At 45.3% G+C, this 19,062-nt stretch overlaps 1 protein-coding gene across 11 annotated transcripts in view, besides 1 other annotated feature; it reads left to right on the plus strand.

The window, feature by feature from the left end:
* The window catches only part of KAZN (kazrin, periplakin interacting protein), a 1,225,220-nt gene that overhangs the window by 741,542 nt on the left and 464,616 nt on the right, over positions 1–19,062 (plus strand). The gene's annotated exons all lie outside the window — the stretch shown is intronic.
* Positions 3,534–4,035: an enhancer, noted in NCBI's record as "H3K4me1 hESC enhancer chr1:14964395-14964896 (GRCh37/hg19 assembly coordinates)". NCBI's record gives its function as "activates a minimal SCP1, AML or CMV promoter by ChIP-STARR-seq in naive H9 embryonic stem cells {active_cell/tissue: H9 hESC(naive)}" and the evidence as "EXISTENCE:reporter gene assay evidence [ECO:0000049][PMID:30033119]".

The following is a 19,062-nucleotide window of genomic DNA, read 5'->3' on the forward strand; positions in this document are numbered from 1 at the left end:
TCATAACCGTACACGGAGAATCTGTCTTTAAAAATGGATGATACGTTAGCAGGAGGTTGTGTAAATATCCAGTTATTTACACATACCTAGCTGCATCTGGAAGCCTGCAGCACTGCAAATAAGGTCCATCATTGCTTCTCATTTCTGATCATTCAAGAGAATAACAATACAATAGCATGGAGTAGCTCAGCTCTTGTCAGCTGTGGGGAGTTCTCGGCCACGTTCTGTGGGTCTGGACAGCTCAGCTGCTTCCCCTACCCGTTCAGTAACATCCTGTTTATGTGGCTCCTGGACAGGCTGGCTTTGTTACTTGAGTTGCCTTCTGAGAGCTCATGGTAGGCTTTGGAGAGGCTCCTGAGGGTCAAAAGGTGCTGACCAGCAGAGAAGTTTCCCAGGGCAGGAATGCACAGAATGCACAGTCCGTTTTTCTTCTGCAATCAGTGAACACCTCTTCCTCAGCAGGAATCCACTCAGGGGTGGGTGGGTTTTAGGATTTGCCCTTAGTTATTATATGCACGTAAAACATGTCTCGGAGGTAAATGGCTCAGGAATTGGGCTGAAAGTGTGACTGCACAGGGTAGAGCTCAGCTTTGCCTTCTAAAGGCTGAATGCACCTGGACAAGTTCCCAAACAGCAAATGTCATTTTCCCCGTCCATAAAATGATGAGGGGGAAGGGAATGGTACCCACCCCACAGGTGTTGCAGGAAGGGCATCAGGGGGTTAGGTTGAATGCCAAGTTGTTTGTACTGGTGCAGACTAAGTATTCAGTGAACGTGAGCTTTGCGTTGCTGTTAATTCAATGAGGTGGTGGAATGGATTAGGGAGGTGCACAGTTCTGAAATGCGGACATCCACGCTGCTGTGCCCTAGCACTGGGCGTTGTTGGGCTAGTCCTTCACCTGCTCTAAGTGTCCTATTTGGGGTAGGGAACTGTCCTGTGCACTGGCATAGGGGCTTATGAACATCCCTGGTCTCCACCCACTGGGTATCACTGGCACTTGCCCGTGGATGTGACACCCAAAAATGTCTCCAGACATTGCTGTGTGACAGTGCACGGGATAGTCCCCTCATACCCTATGAGAGGTGCAGGGAGGTCCCTGTCCAGTGCCTGGGTCAGTGTTGGGTGCCTCGCGGCTCTAGGTCCAGACTGGCTTCTGCTGTTCTACCTCTGTACTAACGCGATTACGATGACTGCTACTGCTGCTGCTGTTACCAATGATGATGTCTCTTAGGCTGCCCCGAGCAATTCTTTCCCTCTGCCACGTTCTCTCAGGGCATCATTGGAGATGCAACACCACCTGCACTTAAGAGAGCTGCGTGCTTCAGGTATAGCGATCTGTGTGTTGTAGCTGGTCTGAAATAACTAGACCAGTGGTTCTCAACTGGGGCCATTTGGCCACATCTGGTGCTGCTGATATCCAGTGGGTGGAGGCCAGGGAGGCCCATAAACACCTAAGACAGTGCACATGCCAGCCCTCTACCCAGCATGCCAGTGGTGCCAAGGTTCAGAAACCCTGAATTCCATGCTATCTCATGACACATCAGTTCTAAACACATTGACTGGTTTTACCCCATTGGCAGTTTCTGTTTACACCCAGGTCTGTGGGCATATGGAAAATCACGGCTGTTGAGTAAAGGATGGAGTAAAAATATACTCTACTCCCCTCCTCCACACTTCAACACCAACCTCAATGAAACAATTCCAACTGAAAGCGGGGAGGACTGGGAAAAGAGTTGAAGAGAGGGTGTCAGTAGAGCCCAGGCTTGGCCACCAGAACAACTGGGTTTGGTTCCAACCCTTAATGCTTATGAGATGGGGTGATTTGGGGCAAGGCACCTCCGTCTCTTGGCTTCAGTTTCCTCATCTGTCAAGTGAGGGGGTGGGGCTAGATGTAAATTACCATTCTGCTCTGAAATTCCTAATTGTAACTTTGAAATCAAACTCAGTGGTCCCCCTCTCTAGGTGCTGGTGGAGAATAACTTGGATTCTGTGACCTCTAGATGGAGAGAGTGTTGTCTGACCCCCAGCTCAGAGGAAGGTGAGATAGACAGACATGCTTGAGCCCTTTGGATAGAGGGCTCTTTGTGTTCATCGAGCATTTCTGCCTCTCCTATGTCGCTTAAAACTGTGTTAATTATGACAGTGACAGCAGCGGCTGACACGGAACACTCACTGGGTCCCAGCACTGCTCTGGACACATCTCACCTGTGTGGCATCATTTGATTCACCCCTCAGTCTCTTGAAATAGGGACCGTCATTTCCTCCACCTGACAGGGAAACTGAGGCAGCCTGATGCATGAGGCCACAAAAGAAGTGAGAGACGCTCGCTCCAAGTTGCAAGGAGGCGAGTTCTTTCCTCAGCAGATCCCAGCCCTGGCTTTACGGCTAATCATGAGCAAGGGGAATCTAAACAGCATGGTAATTTGATTTTTGAATGAAGCTAATTTGTGAGATACCATCCTCCTTAGGAGGGGAGAAATAAGACCAAAGGGAATCAAAAGAGGAAATAACCAAAGTGATCTTACCCTCCTGCTCCAAATGCAAGCTGATGTGTTGGAGGGGAAATTCGACCTGAAGTTCAGACATGTCACAGCCAAAGGAAACCTTAAAAGCTATAATTTCCAAGGAGACCTCTGGAGGGCTGGACATGGTTACCCAGGAATCTGAGCTGACAGTTTATGCAGGCTGCCCAGAGAGCCCAGGGCCCCTTTTCTGACTTTCTCATTCCTGTGGTTGGCCGTTGCATATTCTCTCCCTCCATACCTTGGGTGTGTAATGGGAGGTGCGCAGTGAAAATGGAGCCAGAAAAACGCGTGCAGCAGCTCATCAGAAAGTGTAAGGGGTGATGTAAATGGGAATGATGGGCAGAGGCACACTGTTGACATCATGGTATTCAAAGGAATACAATAATATTTGTGTTCACTTTACTGAGAGCCTTCTAGATGCCGGGCACTGAGCTGAGTTCTTTGCTTACATTAACTTATTTCAGTGCCACAGCAATTCTGGGGGCCGGGAGGGGGCAGGTAGGATTATCATCCCCATTCCACAGATGAGGAAAACTGAGGCTCGGAAAGGTCACATGACTTGCCAAGGGCACACAGTGGAGAAGGGTGGGGACAAAGGTGGCTTGACTAAAGATCCTATCCTTTTGATCACCACCCTCCTCAGATAATCTCTTCTCAAGGCTGGCCCTCTGTAGAGTCGTCTGGTTCCAGCTACCAAAGATTCTGGTTTAATTACTCCTGGATGAAGTGGGAGTGTGTGTGTGGGGGCGGGTGTTATTTTTAAAGTTCCTTTGGTGATTGTATGGGGAGTGAGGGTTAAGAACCACTGTCCTGCATAAATATATGTGTGTGTGCTCTTGTGGGGACCTAAAAAAAGAAAAAAAATATGTATAGATGTACATATATATGTGTGTGTGCATATTTTATCATTTTATCAGTTTCTGAGGGCTACTGTGACAAAGTGCTACAAACTGGGAGGCTTCAAACAACACAGATTTATTCTCTCACAGTCCAGGAGGCCAGAAATCCAAAATCAAGGTGCCAGCAGGGTTGGCTCATTCTGGGAGGTCTGGGGGAGAGACTATCCCACACCTCTCTCCCCGTCTCTGGCAGCTGCCAGCATTCCTTGGCGTCCTTGGCTCACACTCTCATCACTCTAGTCCCTGTCTCTGTCTTTACCTGGCGCTCTCCCCTATGTGTCTTCGTCTCCGTGTGTCCTCTCCTCTTCTCACAGGGACACCAGTCATTAGACCAGGGCCCACCCTCATCCAGGATGGCCTCGTCTCAACGAATCACCTCTGCAAAGACCCTGTTTCCAAATACGTCCACATTCTGAGGTTCCCTGTAGACATGAATTTGGGGGGGACACCATTCAACCCACAACGTGTGTGCACGTGCGCAAAAAATAACTGGGGTGGTGGGGCGTGGTGACTCTTGCCTGTAATCCCAGCACTTTGGGAGGCCGAGGCGGGCGGATCACCTGAGGTCAGAAGCTTGAGACCAGTCTGGCCAGCATGGTGAAACCCCGTCTCTACTAAAAATACAAAAATTAGCTGGGTGTGATGGCTCATGCCTGTAATCCCAGCTACTCGGGAGGCTGAGGTAGGAGAACGGCTTGAACCTGGGAGGCGGAGGTTGCAGCGAGCTGAGATTGCACCACGGCACTCCAGCCTGGGCAACAGAGCAAGACTCCGTCTCAAAAAAAAAACAAAAAAAAAAAAACAAAAAGGGTTGTCCTGTTGAGAACTCTAAGGGGAAGACCCTGCCCGCAGTGGGAAATGACCGTGTATGTTTGTGCAGGCAGCAGGGAGATGGGCCTCTCTGAAGGATGGGATTGAGTGTGCCGCTAGAACGGGTCTTGCCTCCTTCCGCTTCTCCATCTTCACCGCCACTCTCCCAATCTAGGCCGCCATCAATTGTCTCCTGGACAGACAGCAGCACCTCCCCTCTGATCTCCTTGCTTCTTGCCTTCCACACTCTGCAGTCCCCCATCCCACCCATTTCCACCCAGCTAATCCTCAGCCGGCAGCCCATCTTCTAAATCAGTGACCTGTGCTTGTTACTTCTCAGCTCAACACCCTTCAGTGGCTCCCTGTTGTCCTCCAACCCTTCCTCAGTTTACCTCTCTGGCATCATCTAGTGCTACCTTCCACCATACACAATGGGCTGCAGCCATCCTGAAGTTGCCTCAGTCCCTGAAACGCATCTTTCATGTCTTTTCTTCCGTGCACCCTTGGTGTGGCTCCACCTGCCAGAAAGGCTGGACAGACACCACCCCAAATCCATGGACCCCAGAGGCTGATGCACTCGGTCAGGGCTCTGGGCCCAAGAGAGTCCAGCAGACAGAAGCCAGAGTGAGAAGGGGAGACCTCCCATTTGGACCTCCCATTTAAACCTTGAACAGGGCAGGGAAATCTGTCAATATCCCCACTGAGAGTCCCCAGCCCTCTCCAAGCGGGAAACGAATTGACCAGCTGTAAAAATGCGATGCAGAATACAAACCAGCTTAATGGTTTTCTGAGACATTAAAAATTAATGTTGAACATCAACACTTTGAGTGGTCAAATGTCCCCTGTGGTGCTGAATGTCTGGAAATTGTCCCCATAGGGCACAGTGGGGACCATGGCCATAGACCTGTTTGAGGCAGTATAAATGCCCTATGGAGTAGAGGCCATTTGTAGGGTGAGCCGGGCTTAGAAGGTTCACGGGAGAGGCCGAGTGGCTTCCTCCCCTTCTCAGTCCTCTGACCTTTGTTCTCACAAGCTGTTTGTAAACTTCAGCAATTTTTTTTTTTACCATCTCTACTGTTTCTCCTCCCCTAATTCCATAGGCAACACCTAGGATAGACTTGTAGATGGACTGCAGTTGATCAATCCTCGTGGCTACTGAACACTCAGACCCATCTCTTTTGATTTTTTTAGCCATCCAGGGCATGGAAGGGAGGTGCACACCCGCTGTGGCCACCAGCTGCTGCCTGCAGGGCTCCTCGTCTCCATCGAGCAGCTGTGAACCTCGCCGACTCCCAGGATTTGTAATCCCCACTTTCCCGTACCTAAGAGGTCAGAGAAGGTGGTGTGCAGCCACAGTTGAGGACTTCTCCCTGCGGCATGATGGTGGCTCAGCAACGCTAGGTGGTTGTGGAGAGGGAGGACCATGGGCACAGCTTGGAAACTGGAAATCCACAAAAGGTTGTTCGAGAAATGCTCTGGGTTTGTTGGGCCTGAAACAGCAATATTTTTAAAAACCCCATCTGCTGCTCAACTAAGTTTAAAAATACCCCTTTATATTTTAGATAATAAAGCTCAAAATTATTCACTATATTAGATACTGCTTAATAAAATCATGGCCTAATGAGCTGCCTAATTTGTGTGTGCCAGGTTTCAACCGTCTGGGACCTGCTGGAATATGCTCTGATACTATTGATTCCATTGCAGGTGGAATAAGCCTCCATTCTGTTGCCATGGAGGAGGCAAGAAGTTGAATTTTCATCACTCCATATAGGGCCTCTAACATGTTCCTGTCTTTTCATGATTGCACAGGGTCCAGGGCAGCCTGTGGTCCCAGGGCAGTGGGTATTCAGGTCCCTAACTGTAGCCATTAGCAGGGGACAGGCATTGGAGAGATTGGCTATACTTGGTTTCTATCCTGGGTTTCCAGTGTCACCTCCCTCCATGCTTAGTAACTTCCTGTCTTAGTTCTTTCCAGAAGTACTCATCCAGCACTCTGCAGGGTCCTTAGCAAGAACCCAGAGAGCTGCAACTTGGTAGGGATCCCACCCTTTCCTTGCAAAGCACAATCCAAACTAGAAGGTGCAACCTGGGCTCTAGCTACTCCTCCCTGGCAGTCAGCCTGCCCCTGGGACTTTGCACATGCCATTTGTTCTGCCTGGATAACTCTTTGCCTTCACTGTCCATCCCCTCACCTCTGACCCCTTTAGCAGCTTAACTCCTCTTCTTGCTTCAGGTCTCAGATTCAGCGCCTCTCTGTTTGGAAAGGCTTGCTGACCTCCCACGTCCCTGATCAGAGTCTCTTGCACTTCCACCAGCACATCCCTGTGCACCTCTTGGCTCTGCTCTTCTTTGAGCTGGCTGTATTCTTGGGCAGGCCCTTTCTTCAGTGGCAAAATGACTGCTGGTAACCATGAATGCGTATCCCCAGATGAACCACAGGGCATCATTCCCAACAGTCCCAGCAGAAGTCCTGGGTCATTCATTTGCAGAACATTGAAGCAATTCCACTGTAAATCTGATTGGTCAGGCTGGGTCATGGAGCTAAGAAGTAGAGTCAGCCTCTCTCAAACCATATGATTTTATCCCAGCAATATAGGGAGGTGGGAATACCAGGATCAGGAGGAATATTTTGATGTTATCAAAATAAGGAGGTAGACTGGCCAGGCAAAAGCCTCAGATGATCAGTTTAGCTCCCATGGTCTACATGACACCTAGATGAGTTTCATGAGATATCCCTGCATCCAGTTGGTCTAGATTTGGCCCAGGATGATGGAAAATAAAAAATAACAGTAGTCTAAGTAAAATGGAAGTTTCTTATTCTTCCCCTAAAAGCCAGTAGCAGGCCATGCAGGATTGGCATGAGGCTCGGCTCCACAAGCCCTCAAGCACACGATGACTTCCGTCTCCCCACCAGACCATGCCTGCGGTGTGGCCTGCATCTCTGTGCCTCAAGGTGGTGCTCCAGCTGTCACCACCCCACCCCCAAAAACAAAATGGAAGAGACTAGAAGAAGCAGCCAGGGAAAGTCTACCAACCAAAATTTCAGGAGGATTTCTGGAACACAACACCCTGTTCAGTCTATTGACCAGAAAACTTGGTCACATACCACCCTTCGTTACGAGAAAGGCGAGGTGTGGCCATGAGCCACTTGAAAGTTCCATTACACTTGGACACGACACCAAAAGCACAACTCATGACCAACAACATTTATTAAATTGGACTTCATCAAAATTAAAAACTTCTTCTCTGCAAGAAACACTGGTAAGAGAATGAAGCAACAAGCTACAAACTGGGGAGAAATATTTGCAAGTCACGTACGTGACATAGGATATGTATCCAGAATATATAAAGAATTCTCAAACTCAGACATCAAGAAGACAAGTCCATTTTAAAAATTGGCAAAAGACATGAACTCAAGAGGATACTTTGCAGAAGAGGATATATGGATGACAAAGAAGCTCGAAAAGATGCCCAACATCATTAGCTATGAGGGAAATGCAAATTAAAACCACAGTGAGGCCAGGCATGGTGGCTTAAGCCTGTAATCCCAGCACTTTGGGAGGCCAAGGCGGGCAGATGACAAGCTCGGGAGATCGAGACCATCCTGGCTAACACGGTGAAACCCCGTCTCTACTAAAAATACAAAAAAATTAGCCAGGCGTGGTGGCGCGTGCCTGTAGTCCCACCTACTTGGCAGGCTGAGGCAGGAGAATTGCTTGAACCCGGGAGGCGGAGGTTGCAGTGAGCTGAGATCACGCCACTGCACTCCAGCCTGGGTGACAGAGTGAGACTCCATCTCAAAAAATAAATAAATAAATAAATAACCATAGTGAGATACCAACACCCATCAAGTTAACACGGCATGTGCTCACTCATGTGTGGAAGCTTTAAAAAGCTGATCTCATAGAAGTAAAAAGTGGAACAGAGGATACTGGAGGCTGGAGGGGTTGGGGAAAGGGATAGATAGGGAGAGATGTGTTAAAGGATACAGGTAAATAGGAGAAATAAGTTCTAGTGTTCTATGCCACTGTAGGATAACTATAGTTTACAATAATATATGATACAGTTTCAAATAGCTAGAAGGAAGATATTGAATGTTCCCAAGACAAAGAAACGATAAATATTTGAGATGATTGATATGCTAATTATTCTGATCTGATACATTATATGTATAAAAATACCACTGTATCCCCTGAAAAAGAACGATTATTGTCAGTTTAAAAACAAAAATATAAGGGTTTAAAAAAAATGGCCTAAATGAAAAAGACAGACAATACTAAGTGCTGATGAGGATACAGAGCTACTGGATCTTTTATAGGAACATAAATTGGTGCAGCCACTCTGGAAGAGATTTGGCACTGTCTTATAAAGTGAAACATCTATCCACCATGTGACTCAGCAGCTGCATTCCCGGGTACATAAACCCCTGTGTTCACACAACAACCTGTATGTTGTGAATGTTTTTAGCAGCTCTGTGCATAATAACCCCAAACTGGAAACAACCCAAACATTCTTCAGCAAATGAACAGATGAACCATGACTCCACAATAAAAAGGAATGGATTTTTTTTAACTTTTATTTTAGGTTCAGAGGTACATGTGAAGGTTTGGTATATAGGTAAACTTGTGTCACAACGAGGGGGAGTTGCCTTACAGGTTATTTCATCACCTCGGTATTAAGCCCACCCAATAGTTATCCTTTCTGCTCCTCTCCCTCCTCCCACCCTCCACCTTCAAGTAGACCCCATTGTCTGTTTTTCCCTTCTTTGTGTCTATGTGTTCTTATCATTTAGCCCTGACTTATAAGTGAGAACATGTGGTATTCAGTTTCCTGTTCCTGCATTAGTTTGCTAAGGATAATGGCCTCCAGCTCTATCTATGTTCCTGCAAAAGACATGATCTCGTTTTTTATGGCTGCATAGTATTCCATGATGTTTATGTACCACATTTTCTTTATCCAGTCTGTCAATGATGGGCATTTAGTTTGATTCCATGTCTTTTGCTATTGTGAATAGTTCTGCAGTGAACATTTGCGTGCATGTATCTTTATGGTAGAATGATTTATATTCCTCTGGGTATATACCCAGTAGGATTGCTGGGTTGAACAGTAGTTCTACTTTTAGCTCTCTGAGGAATTGACATACCACTTTCCACAATGGTTGAACTAATTTTACACTCTCAACAGCAGTGTATAAGAGTTCCCTTTTCTCTGCAACCTCATCAGCATCTGTTATATTTTTACTTTTTAATAAATAGCCATTCTGACCAGTATGAGATGGTATCTCATTAAGATTTTAATTTGCATTTCTCTAATGCTCAGTGATATTGAGCTTTTTTTTCATATTCTTCTTGGCCACATGTGTGTCTTCTTTTGAAAAATGTCTATTCATGTCCTTTGCCCACTTTTTTTTTTTTTTTTTTTTTTTTTGAGATGGAGTTTTGCTCTTTGTTGCCCTGGCTGGAGTGCAGTGGCGCAATCTCCGCTCACTGCAACCTCCACCTCTCGGGTTCAAGCAATTCTCCCATCTCAGCCTCCCAAGTAGCTGGGATTACAGGTGCCCACCACCACGCCCAGCTACTTTTTGTATTTTTATTAGAGATGGGGTTTCACCATGTTGGCCAGGCTGGTCTTGAACTCCTGACCTGAGGTGATCCACCTGCCTCAGCCTCCCAAAATGCTGGGATTACAGGCATGAGCCACCACGCCCGCCTGCCCACTTTTTAATAGAATTGTCTGTTTTTCTCTTGTAAATTTGTTTTTTTTTTTTTCTTCTTTTTTTGAGACTGAGTCTCGCTCTGTCACCCAGGCTGGAGTGCTGTGGTGTGATCTCGGCTCACTGCAAGCTCCGCCTACCAGGTTCACGCCATGCTCCTGCCTCAGCCTCCCGAGTAGCTGGGACTACAGGCGCCTGCCACCACACCCAGCTAATTTTTTGTATTTTTAGTAGAGACGGGGTTTCACCATGTTAGCTAGGATGGTCTTGATCTCCTGAGCTCGTGATCCGCCTGCCTTGGCCTCCCAAAGTGCTGGGATTACAAGTGTGAGCCACCGTGCCGGGCCTTCTCTTGTAAATTTGTTTAAGTTCCTTATAGATGCTGGACATTAGACCTTTATCAGATGCATGGTTTGCAAATATTTTCTCCCATTCTATAGGTTGTCTGTTTACCCTGTTGATAGTTTCTTTTGCTGTGCAGAAGCTCTTTAATTAAATCCCATTTGTCAATTTTTGCTTTTGTTGTGATTGCTTTTGGTGTCTTTGTCGTGAAATCGTTGCCTGTTCTTTTGTCTAGAATGGTGTTGCCTAAGTTGTCTTTCAGGATTTTTATAGTTGTGGATTTTACATGTAAGTCTTTAATCTGTCTTCAGTTAATTTGTGTATATGGTGTAAGGAAGGGGTCCAATTTCAATCTTCTGCATATAGTCATATGCCAGTTACCCCAGCACCATTTATTGAATCGGGAGTCTTTTCCCCATTACTTTTGTTAGTTTTGTTGAAGATTGGGTGGTCTTGGGTGTGCAGCCTTATTTCTGGGCTCTCTATTCTGTTCCATTGGTCTGTGTACCTGTTTTTGTACCAGTACCATGCTGTTTTGGTTACTGTAGCCTTGTAGTATAGTTTGAAGTCAGGTAACATGATGCCTCCAGCTTTGTTCTTTTTGCTTGAAGTTGCCTTGGCTATTTGGGTTCTTTTTTGGTTCCATATGAATTCTAAAATAGTTTTTTCTAGTTCTATGAAGAATGTTGGTGGTAGTTTGATAGGAACAGCATTGAATCTGTAAATTGCTTTGGGCAGTATGGACATTTTAATGATATTAACTCTTCCTATCCATAAACAGGGGATAGTTTTCCATTAGTTGTGTCTTCTCTGATTTCTTTGAGCAGTGTTTTGTAATTCTCATTCTAGAGATCTGTCACCTCCCTGGCCTTCCTGATTTGGCTCTTGCCTTGGCTATTGTTGGTGTATATGAATGCTAGTAATTTTTGTACATTGATTTTGTATCCTGAAACTTTGCTGAAGTTGTTTATCAACTGAAGGAACTTTTGGGCCAAGACTATGGTGTTTTCTAGATACAGAATCATGTCGTCTGCCAACAGGGGTAGTTTGACTTCCTCTCTTCCTATTTGGATGCCCTTTATTTCTTTCTCTTGCCCGATTGCTTTGGCTAGGACTTCCAATACTACGTTGAGTAGGAGTGGTGAGAGAGGGCATCCTTGTCTTGTGCCAGTTTTCAAGGGGAATGCTTCCAGCTTTTGCCCTCTCAGTATGATGTTGGCTGTGGATTTGTCATAGATGGCTCTTATTATTTTGAGGTATGTTCAAAAGGAGTGGATTATTGATACATGAAACAATGTGGCTGAATCTCAAAAGCATTATGCTGAGAGAAAGAAACAGTCCCAAAAGGTCACATAGTCTGTGGTTCCATGTATATGGCATTCTTAATAAGACAAAACTCCAGTTGATAAGAAAAGATCACTAGAGGGTAGGGGTTGGGGTGGGGAGTGGGGGTTCTGGCTATAAAGGGACAGTCCAGGGAGTGCTTTGGGTGATAGACCCCGGCCATATCCTGACTGAGTGCAGGTTACGTGAATCTATACATTGTTAAATTCATGGATTTATACATCTCAAAAAACATCAGCTTTACCATAAAAAGCTCTGTTCCTAGGCTGGGTATCGTGGCTCATGCCTGTAATCCCAATACTTTGGGAGGCTGAGGCAGGAGGATCACTTGAGTCTAGGAGGTCAAAGCTGCAGTTGAGCCATGGTTGTGCCACTGCCCTCTAGCCTGGGCAACAGAACAAGACTGTCTCAAAAACAGAACAAAACAAATAAATGATTACTATGGCAGAAAAGAAGCATGGTGATAGTGAGGGAAGCTGGGGGTAACTGGATAATCATCTGTACCTCATTTACCAAGGTATCCCCTTTGTTGGGCTATGGCAGGGTTTCTCAAACCCTGGCACTGCTGACATTTGCAGCTGGATGATTCTCTATTGTGGGGCTGTCCTATGCCTTGTAGGGGGCTTATAGCATCCCTGGCCTCTACCCACCAGATGTCAGCAGTGTCCCCCAGCCTGCAGTTATGAGAAACAAAAATGTCTCCAGACATGGCTCCATGTCCATAGGAACAAGGCGTCACTGGTTGAGAATCACTGGCTAGTCTGAGTATGTTTCAATTATTTACAACTAAATAATTTCCCATTAGTTGTTTCCTTTCTCAGAGACCCCTTTGCTTTCTGTCTCTCTCCCTTGCCTCTTTGTGACAACTGCCAAAGAATTAGCACGGTGTAAGCTGAGATGCCTGAGGACAGGGTTCCCCAGGGCATGTGAGCCTGTGCAAAGGAGCTTCTGCTCCAGCACGTGGATGGGGGAAGCCCTTACCTTCTCCATATCCTCTCTCCACACCCATGTTACCCCATACTCATGACTTGGCAGAGGAAGACCGAGTCCAGGCAGTTATTGGTTCCAACAATAGGCCGACATTTTACTTACATCTTAAACCCTGGGTATTTCCCTTGGCTCATTTTAGAGCTCAGAAAAGCCATTCCACTATTTAAATATGGAAGAGTAACATATTTTAATAATCATACCCCGGGGCGCAGTTTTTCCGTTGCATGAAAATATAATGGTCAAAACAGCCCGCAGCCAATTGCAGAATTATGTAAAAGTAATGAAAAGAAATCAAAACCCACACGCCTTCCATCACGCTAGACCACCTTTGCTGTCTTGCTAAATTTTCTGCTTCACACACTTTCTAGCCCAGGATAAAGATTGTGGAGTAGTTCATATCTTTATTTCTAAAGAGCTTTGCCTATTCCAAAGGTGTTTTAGGAGGCTGAGTTACAGAAGGACCAGTCAATTGTTACAGAAGGACCAGTAGTGGAGTTTCCTGGATCATCTTAACATCAGGGGAAGATCAGGGGTTACTTTAGGACAGAGGGTTGCAGACTCTGGGCTGGTAAGTAAATGATAGAACAGGCTGCAGTCAGGTAGAGAGCCTGGGCCCACTCTGGAGACTGAAGTGCCTTCTGTCATCTACATAATTGTTACCGTGTGGGAATCGGGGCCTGGTATTGGCAAATTTTATGTTTTCAATGCAACTCTTAACCGGAATCTTTATTTGACCCCTTCTACTTTGTAAATGCTGCAATAAATTCAGACTGAAAAGAACAAATCTGTAATCTAGGTATATTCTGGGGTTCACCAATTTGTGATTTCTCCCGCACCTTAACCCCCTAAAGGTCAACTCTGCAGGAACGAGATGGTTGGACCTAGAGAGGGAATCTTAACAGAAAGGGTGGTGTGATCATTCTCCATTCGTTTCCTGTCTCTTCCTGATCTGCCAAGGTCCTTCCCAGCTGACCTTTCTGTTTCCTCTGTTGCCCAACTATCCCAGCCAAGGTCAGGGTCATTCCCTTCTCTCCACTGTTGAACTAAGTTAAGAAGGAACTTTTCCTTAGGAACTTTTTCAGTTTAACTCTCATCACAGAAGCACAGAAAATATGCTTAAGCCAAAAAGCCCAAGTAAAGAAAGCAGGGTAGGAAGGTTGTCTGGACAGAATGATCACATTTATGTAAAGATCGCAACCAAGAAATTGCACACAAAATTACAGGGAGAAGGGAACACAGCAAACTATTGACAGTGATTAACTCTGGGCATGGGAATAGAGACTGTTTATCCCCATCAACTTTCTTGTATGTTTCATGCTGGGAATGTGCTATTATTAATTTATAATGGAACACATTTTTTAAAGGAAATCTTACTTGGAAACTAAATGAGAAACATTTGAAAACAGAATGTTCAATAGTGACATTTAGTGAGCATCGATTCTTTGATCAATAACCACAAGTGTTTTTTTTTAACTTATGCAATGGTAGGACATCTGATTTTAGCTGATCTAAAGGAAAAAACAGACTTGTCCCCTCCTCTCTGTCCCTTAGATGAGATTGTTGGCAGGAAAACTAGAGCTGCAGAGAGGCTGGGCTTGACGTTTCTCCTTGGAGTTGTAATAAGGAGGGATTGGAACTTGGACACTTGACTTAGGAGCAACTTCCAAGTTGACCATTAGACACAAGGATAGAACCTTTGCTTCAAGGGGTGGTTCCTTCCGTGAATACTTAAAGGAGTTAGAGATTGGGAGTCCCTGCTGTAAAAGTGGAAAAATAATAGTGCTCACTAATGTAGTTTGTGTGTTTTGGGTCATGTCCCATTGGGAACCAGCCCCTCCCCTGGGTGAGCTGCAAATGGCTATGGTCACTGGAGTCTTTGGGGCATGAGACGTTCTGCCCTAGGTTAGACAACTGCATTTACATCTTCACATTAAATATAGGCAGTTTGGTGCACCCAGTTCTTTTAAGCTGGCAGCAAAGGAATTTGAATGAACTCATCAGCTCTGTCCACATATTTGGATTTTACAGGATGATTTCCCAAACCACTTGGAACAATGAAGTGTGCCCTGATTTGTTTGCCACTGGATCTCAGCATGGAAGACCAGAGACTGGTTGGTTGCCCTGGTGCAGGCACCACATTAATGCCCTGGTGGTGGCCAGGCCCTGAATTTTTTAGCTGAGTAAAGATTTGTTCTCTTCCCAAGGATTGATGGCTAAGGAGCTCTGATTCACATCCTTCCAGAAGGCCGAATCCACATACCATTGATAGAGAACTTGCTTTATGCCAGGACTATTTGTTGACTTATATTTTAGGGTTGAGGGAGGCACTATTGTTGTTTGCATTTTACTGATGGGGAATTAAGCACAGAGAGGTTAAGTGACTTGTGGATCGTCACACAGCAGGTAACCAGTAGAGGTGAAGTTTTAACCCAGGCAGTGTTCTCCAGAGTCGTTGGTCTTGGGAAAATGGCTAACGGTTCACGTTACACCTCAAAGCCTGATTGATCCATTGTCATAGGCCACGTTCACATTTTACTCATTACAGTGACCAAGGATGTATATAAACACATGCAGCCGAAAGAAGGTCTGAGGGTTTGCCTGCTGGTACATTTCCAGACACACAGCTTTAAGCAGTATCTGCTTTGAAACAGACCAAATGTCAAGGCGACCAACAAAGCCTGTCAATTAGGAATGCCTCCCAGTGTGTGGTTTAGAGCTCAGAGTTAGGGGAAAAAATGCAGCGTGAACTGTGATAAGCTGAGATGGAGAGAAAAACCAGAAACCTCACTCCAACATCATCTTATTTTAATAATTATCATGATCCCATTAATCCAAGAATATTTGGTACCTAATTATTTTTTATTTATACTTTGTAATGTAGTGTGCGTTGGTGGAATGACATTAGAGGGAAGAAAGTAAAGGTTAGGGAGACACCATTTATAGAAAAGCCAGGTACAGGGCTTGGCACCTAAATTCTACCTCATTTAGTCTTCTTAACTGTCCTGTGACAGTGGGTGCTGGTATCTTTCCCCCTCCACCCATCTTTTTTTTTTTTTTTTTTTTTTTTTTGCTGATAAGGAAACTAAAGCCCAGAGAAGTTTAGTAATTTTCCCATAGTCACACAGCAAGTAATTGACAGAAGTTACTGTATTTATGGGTGTGGGTATGTGGAAGGAAGTAGGCCAGCAGGTTTTGTGGGCCATGCTCAGTCATATAAAATTATGTCAAATACATATTAAAAATTTACAAGAAACATTAAACCAAATACATATTAAAGACTTACGGCTGGGCACCATGACTCACACCTGTAATCCCAGCACTTTGGCAACCCAAGCTGGAAGGATTGCTTGAGCCCAGGAATTCAAGACCAGCCTGGACAATATAGCAAGACCTCACCTCTACTAAAAATTAAAAAATTAGCCAGGCAGTTGTCCCAGCTACTCAGGAGACTGAGGCAGGAGGATGGCCTGGGCCCAGGAGTTGAACCTGCAGTGAGCCATGTTCGTGCCACTGCACTCCACACTCCAGCCTGGGGGATAGAGTGAAACCCTGTCTCAAAAACAAACAGATAAACAAAAAAGACACAATGGGACCAAGAGCCAACAGAAGGGTTTTCTGATACTGTATATGAGAATGTAGATCTACTTTCAGTATCTTTTGACTAAGAAAAATCCAACTAACATGGAGGCTATGATAATTCAATATTGCTTTACATAAATCTGCATTTTATTAGTCAGCAGGTTCCTGATGCATTGAAAACCATGCACATGTTTCTATTGCATTTAGAAACACTACCTATAGGTAGGGTAGTGCTTGGTGCTTTTCTGGGTTTCTGGACCATGTAATTAACACCAAGGGCCTGATGGGGTCCATGGCTCCCCAGGTTGGAAGCAAGTGGTTTAGGAAATCAAGGAGAAAACAAATTGAATACTGACTTTCCCAAATGCTACCCATGCATATAGAGCAAGAAAGTGTGGTAGAGGGAGAGGAGAACCTACCTCCGCAGTGACTTTCCTAAAACTCCATGAATCTCAAGAATTCGGAGAAAGTCACTCAAGCTCATTCAACACATATTCAACCCAAGAGCATCATTAAGATAAAATCGTTTGCTCTCTAAATGACCAAATTAGGCATTGCAATTAGAGCACAAACACTTCCTGGTAATTCCTCATCTCATTTTCAACTTGCCATGCTTGGCTCTGTGAGCCTTTGAGAGAAAGAAGCCATTGTTGAAAATGGAATGTGATTTTCACTAGCTCCAGTGTTTAGGAGAAATATTTAGACTTATTTTGATGGCAGGAAGTCATATAGCCTTCTCCATTCTGAGGATGGAGGGGTGAGTGGGGGATCTCTATACCTGTGAGTTTCTTGTCAGTTTGCCTGTAATGATTGGGGAGGTTTTCTTTAACTTTGACATCTGTCTTCCCTGGTATTTAGCAGGGATCAGAGGAATAGTGGATAATATGTGAGAGGTCACCCTGTCTCCTCTTAACTTTTCCTACCAGGTTGGGGAGGTTATTTGTGAATCATTAGAGGTCAGAGTTTAGCCCCATAGTGGACCCTGGAACTACGAATGTTTCTACAAGCAGGAATCACCTGGTACAAAACCATTGACTCAGTCTTGAGGGTTTCATTCTATGGAAGCATTGTTGAAAAGAACAACATTTGACTGGATTTATTTTCCAAAATTTTGACTGGGGCTTTTTTCCCCCCACGAGAATAACTGCAGGGTCTAAGATGAACCGTGTGAGCTCTAGCATTAGAAGAAAAGACAAAGCATAATGTAGCTCATGAAGTTTTTATGGCTGGTTAATGCGTCTTAGTCTGCTGTGATTAAATGGCCAATGTGGCTCAATCTGGAAGCTTCCTACTCGCCTTCTAACTTCTTCACATAATAGACAGGTAGTTCGAATGATACCCATGATCCCACACAATCCTTTTGGGATGGAAATAGTCCCTGTAAGGGGAAAATCATTGAGCAGTTTGTAGTTTTTCAAATTTTACCTTCTTTTGCTTTAAATTAATTCCTACAGAACAGGACATTTTGGTACTGAAATGAGGTCTGTACAGGGCAGATCACCAGGCCATATGTGAGGGCCACCTTCAGGAATGAAAAATCAAAAACAAAACAAGCTAAGCAGCAGAAGACAAATTCTGTTCAGGACACTGCATCTTTATGTTTGCAAGGACTTAGCCCAGGCATGTAATTTTGATCCTGTTATAAATCTGTGACAAGTGCTCTTCACTTTAAACAACTGGAGGCATCCCTGAAAAGTTGTGTGATATTTTTACCCAATTTGCTTTCATTTAAAATTGCCATTTCAGAGTCATCATATTATCTTCATTCTTCATTATTTTTCACTTGACTGCAGCTTGGAATTTTTTCTACCTTCTTCCTCCTCCTGTTTCTCTGTCTCAGCATCATATATTTATGTGTTGGTTCATTCGACCACCCACCCACCCATCTGCCTATCCATCCACCCACCCACCCGCCCATCCACCTATCCACCTATCTACCTATCCACCCACCCATGTACCTATCTACTCTCCCCCATCCACCTATTCACCCATCCACCCACCCACTCATCCACCTATCTACTCACCCACCCATCCACTCATGCACCCACTCATCCACCCATCCACCCACCCATCCATCCACCCATCCACCCACCCACCCACCCATCCATCCACCCACCCATCCATCTACCTATCCATGCACCCATTCATTCATCCACCCATCCGTTAATCCATCCATCCATTCATCCACCCATCCACGCATCCAGAAAACATTTCATGCTTATGTGCCAGGCCATACACACCAGTTTAATGATTTTCAAGTTGGGGAGATTTTGCTACCCCGCCCCCATGGCAATTGGGGACATTTTTGGTTGTCACAGCTGGGAGAGAGGGGGGTGCCACTGGCATCTGGCAGGTGGAGTCCAAGGATGCTGCTACTCATACTGCAGTGCCCAAGAAAGCTGGCCTAAATGTAATATGTCAAGCTGGAGAAATTCTGCTGACTCCGGGATAAATAACTGAGTTCCTGACCATATGAAACTTACCGTCTTGCAGGGGAAGTGGACAGATAAACAGGGAGATTGTGCTGATGCTGCTGTTGAGGTCATAGGTGTTTGTGGTCATTTCTCCTTTGGAGGGTGGTTCAGAAACAAGTCCATTCATGGATCTGTGAAAAAATTCTTCTCTGGAGAGGTCCAGTAGGAATTGGAAAGTGAGGGAAAGAGGCTGGATGAACAAAGGGTCACAGGTGTAGGTTTGGGACACATTGTGGGGCCTGAAATTTGGAACCTTAAATGAGGCAGAGGTAATAAGCTCAGATGCCTGCAGGTGCCAGGTATGGTGGCAAGGGTAGCAATAAGTGGCAGTTGATCCAGCTCCCTGGGGCGTGTTGGGGCCCGTGGGAGACAATGGGGTCCCTGA

This window comes from Homo sapiens, chromosome 1 (genome assembly GCF_000001405.40).
Source record: "Homo sapiens chromosome 1, GRCh38.p14 Primary Assembly".
NCBI lineage: Eukaryota > Metazoa > Chordata > Mammalia > Primates > Hominidae > Homo > Homo sapiens.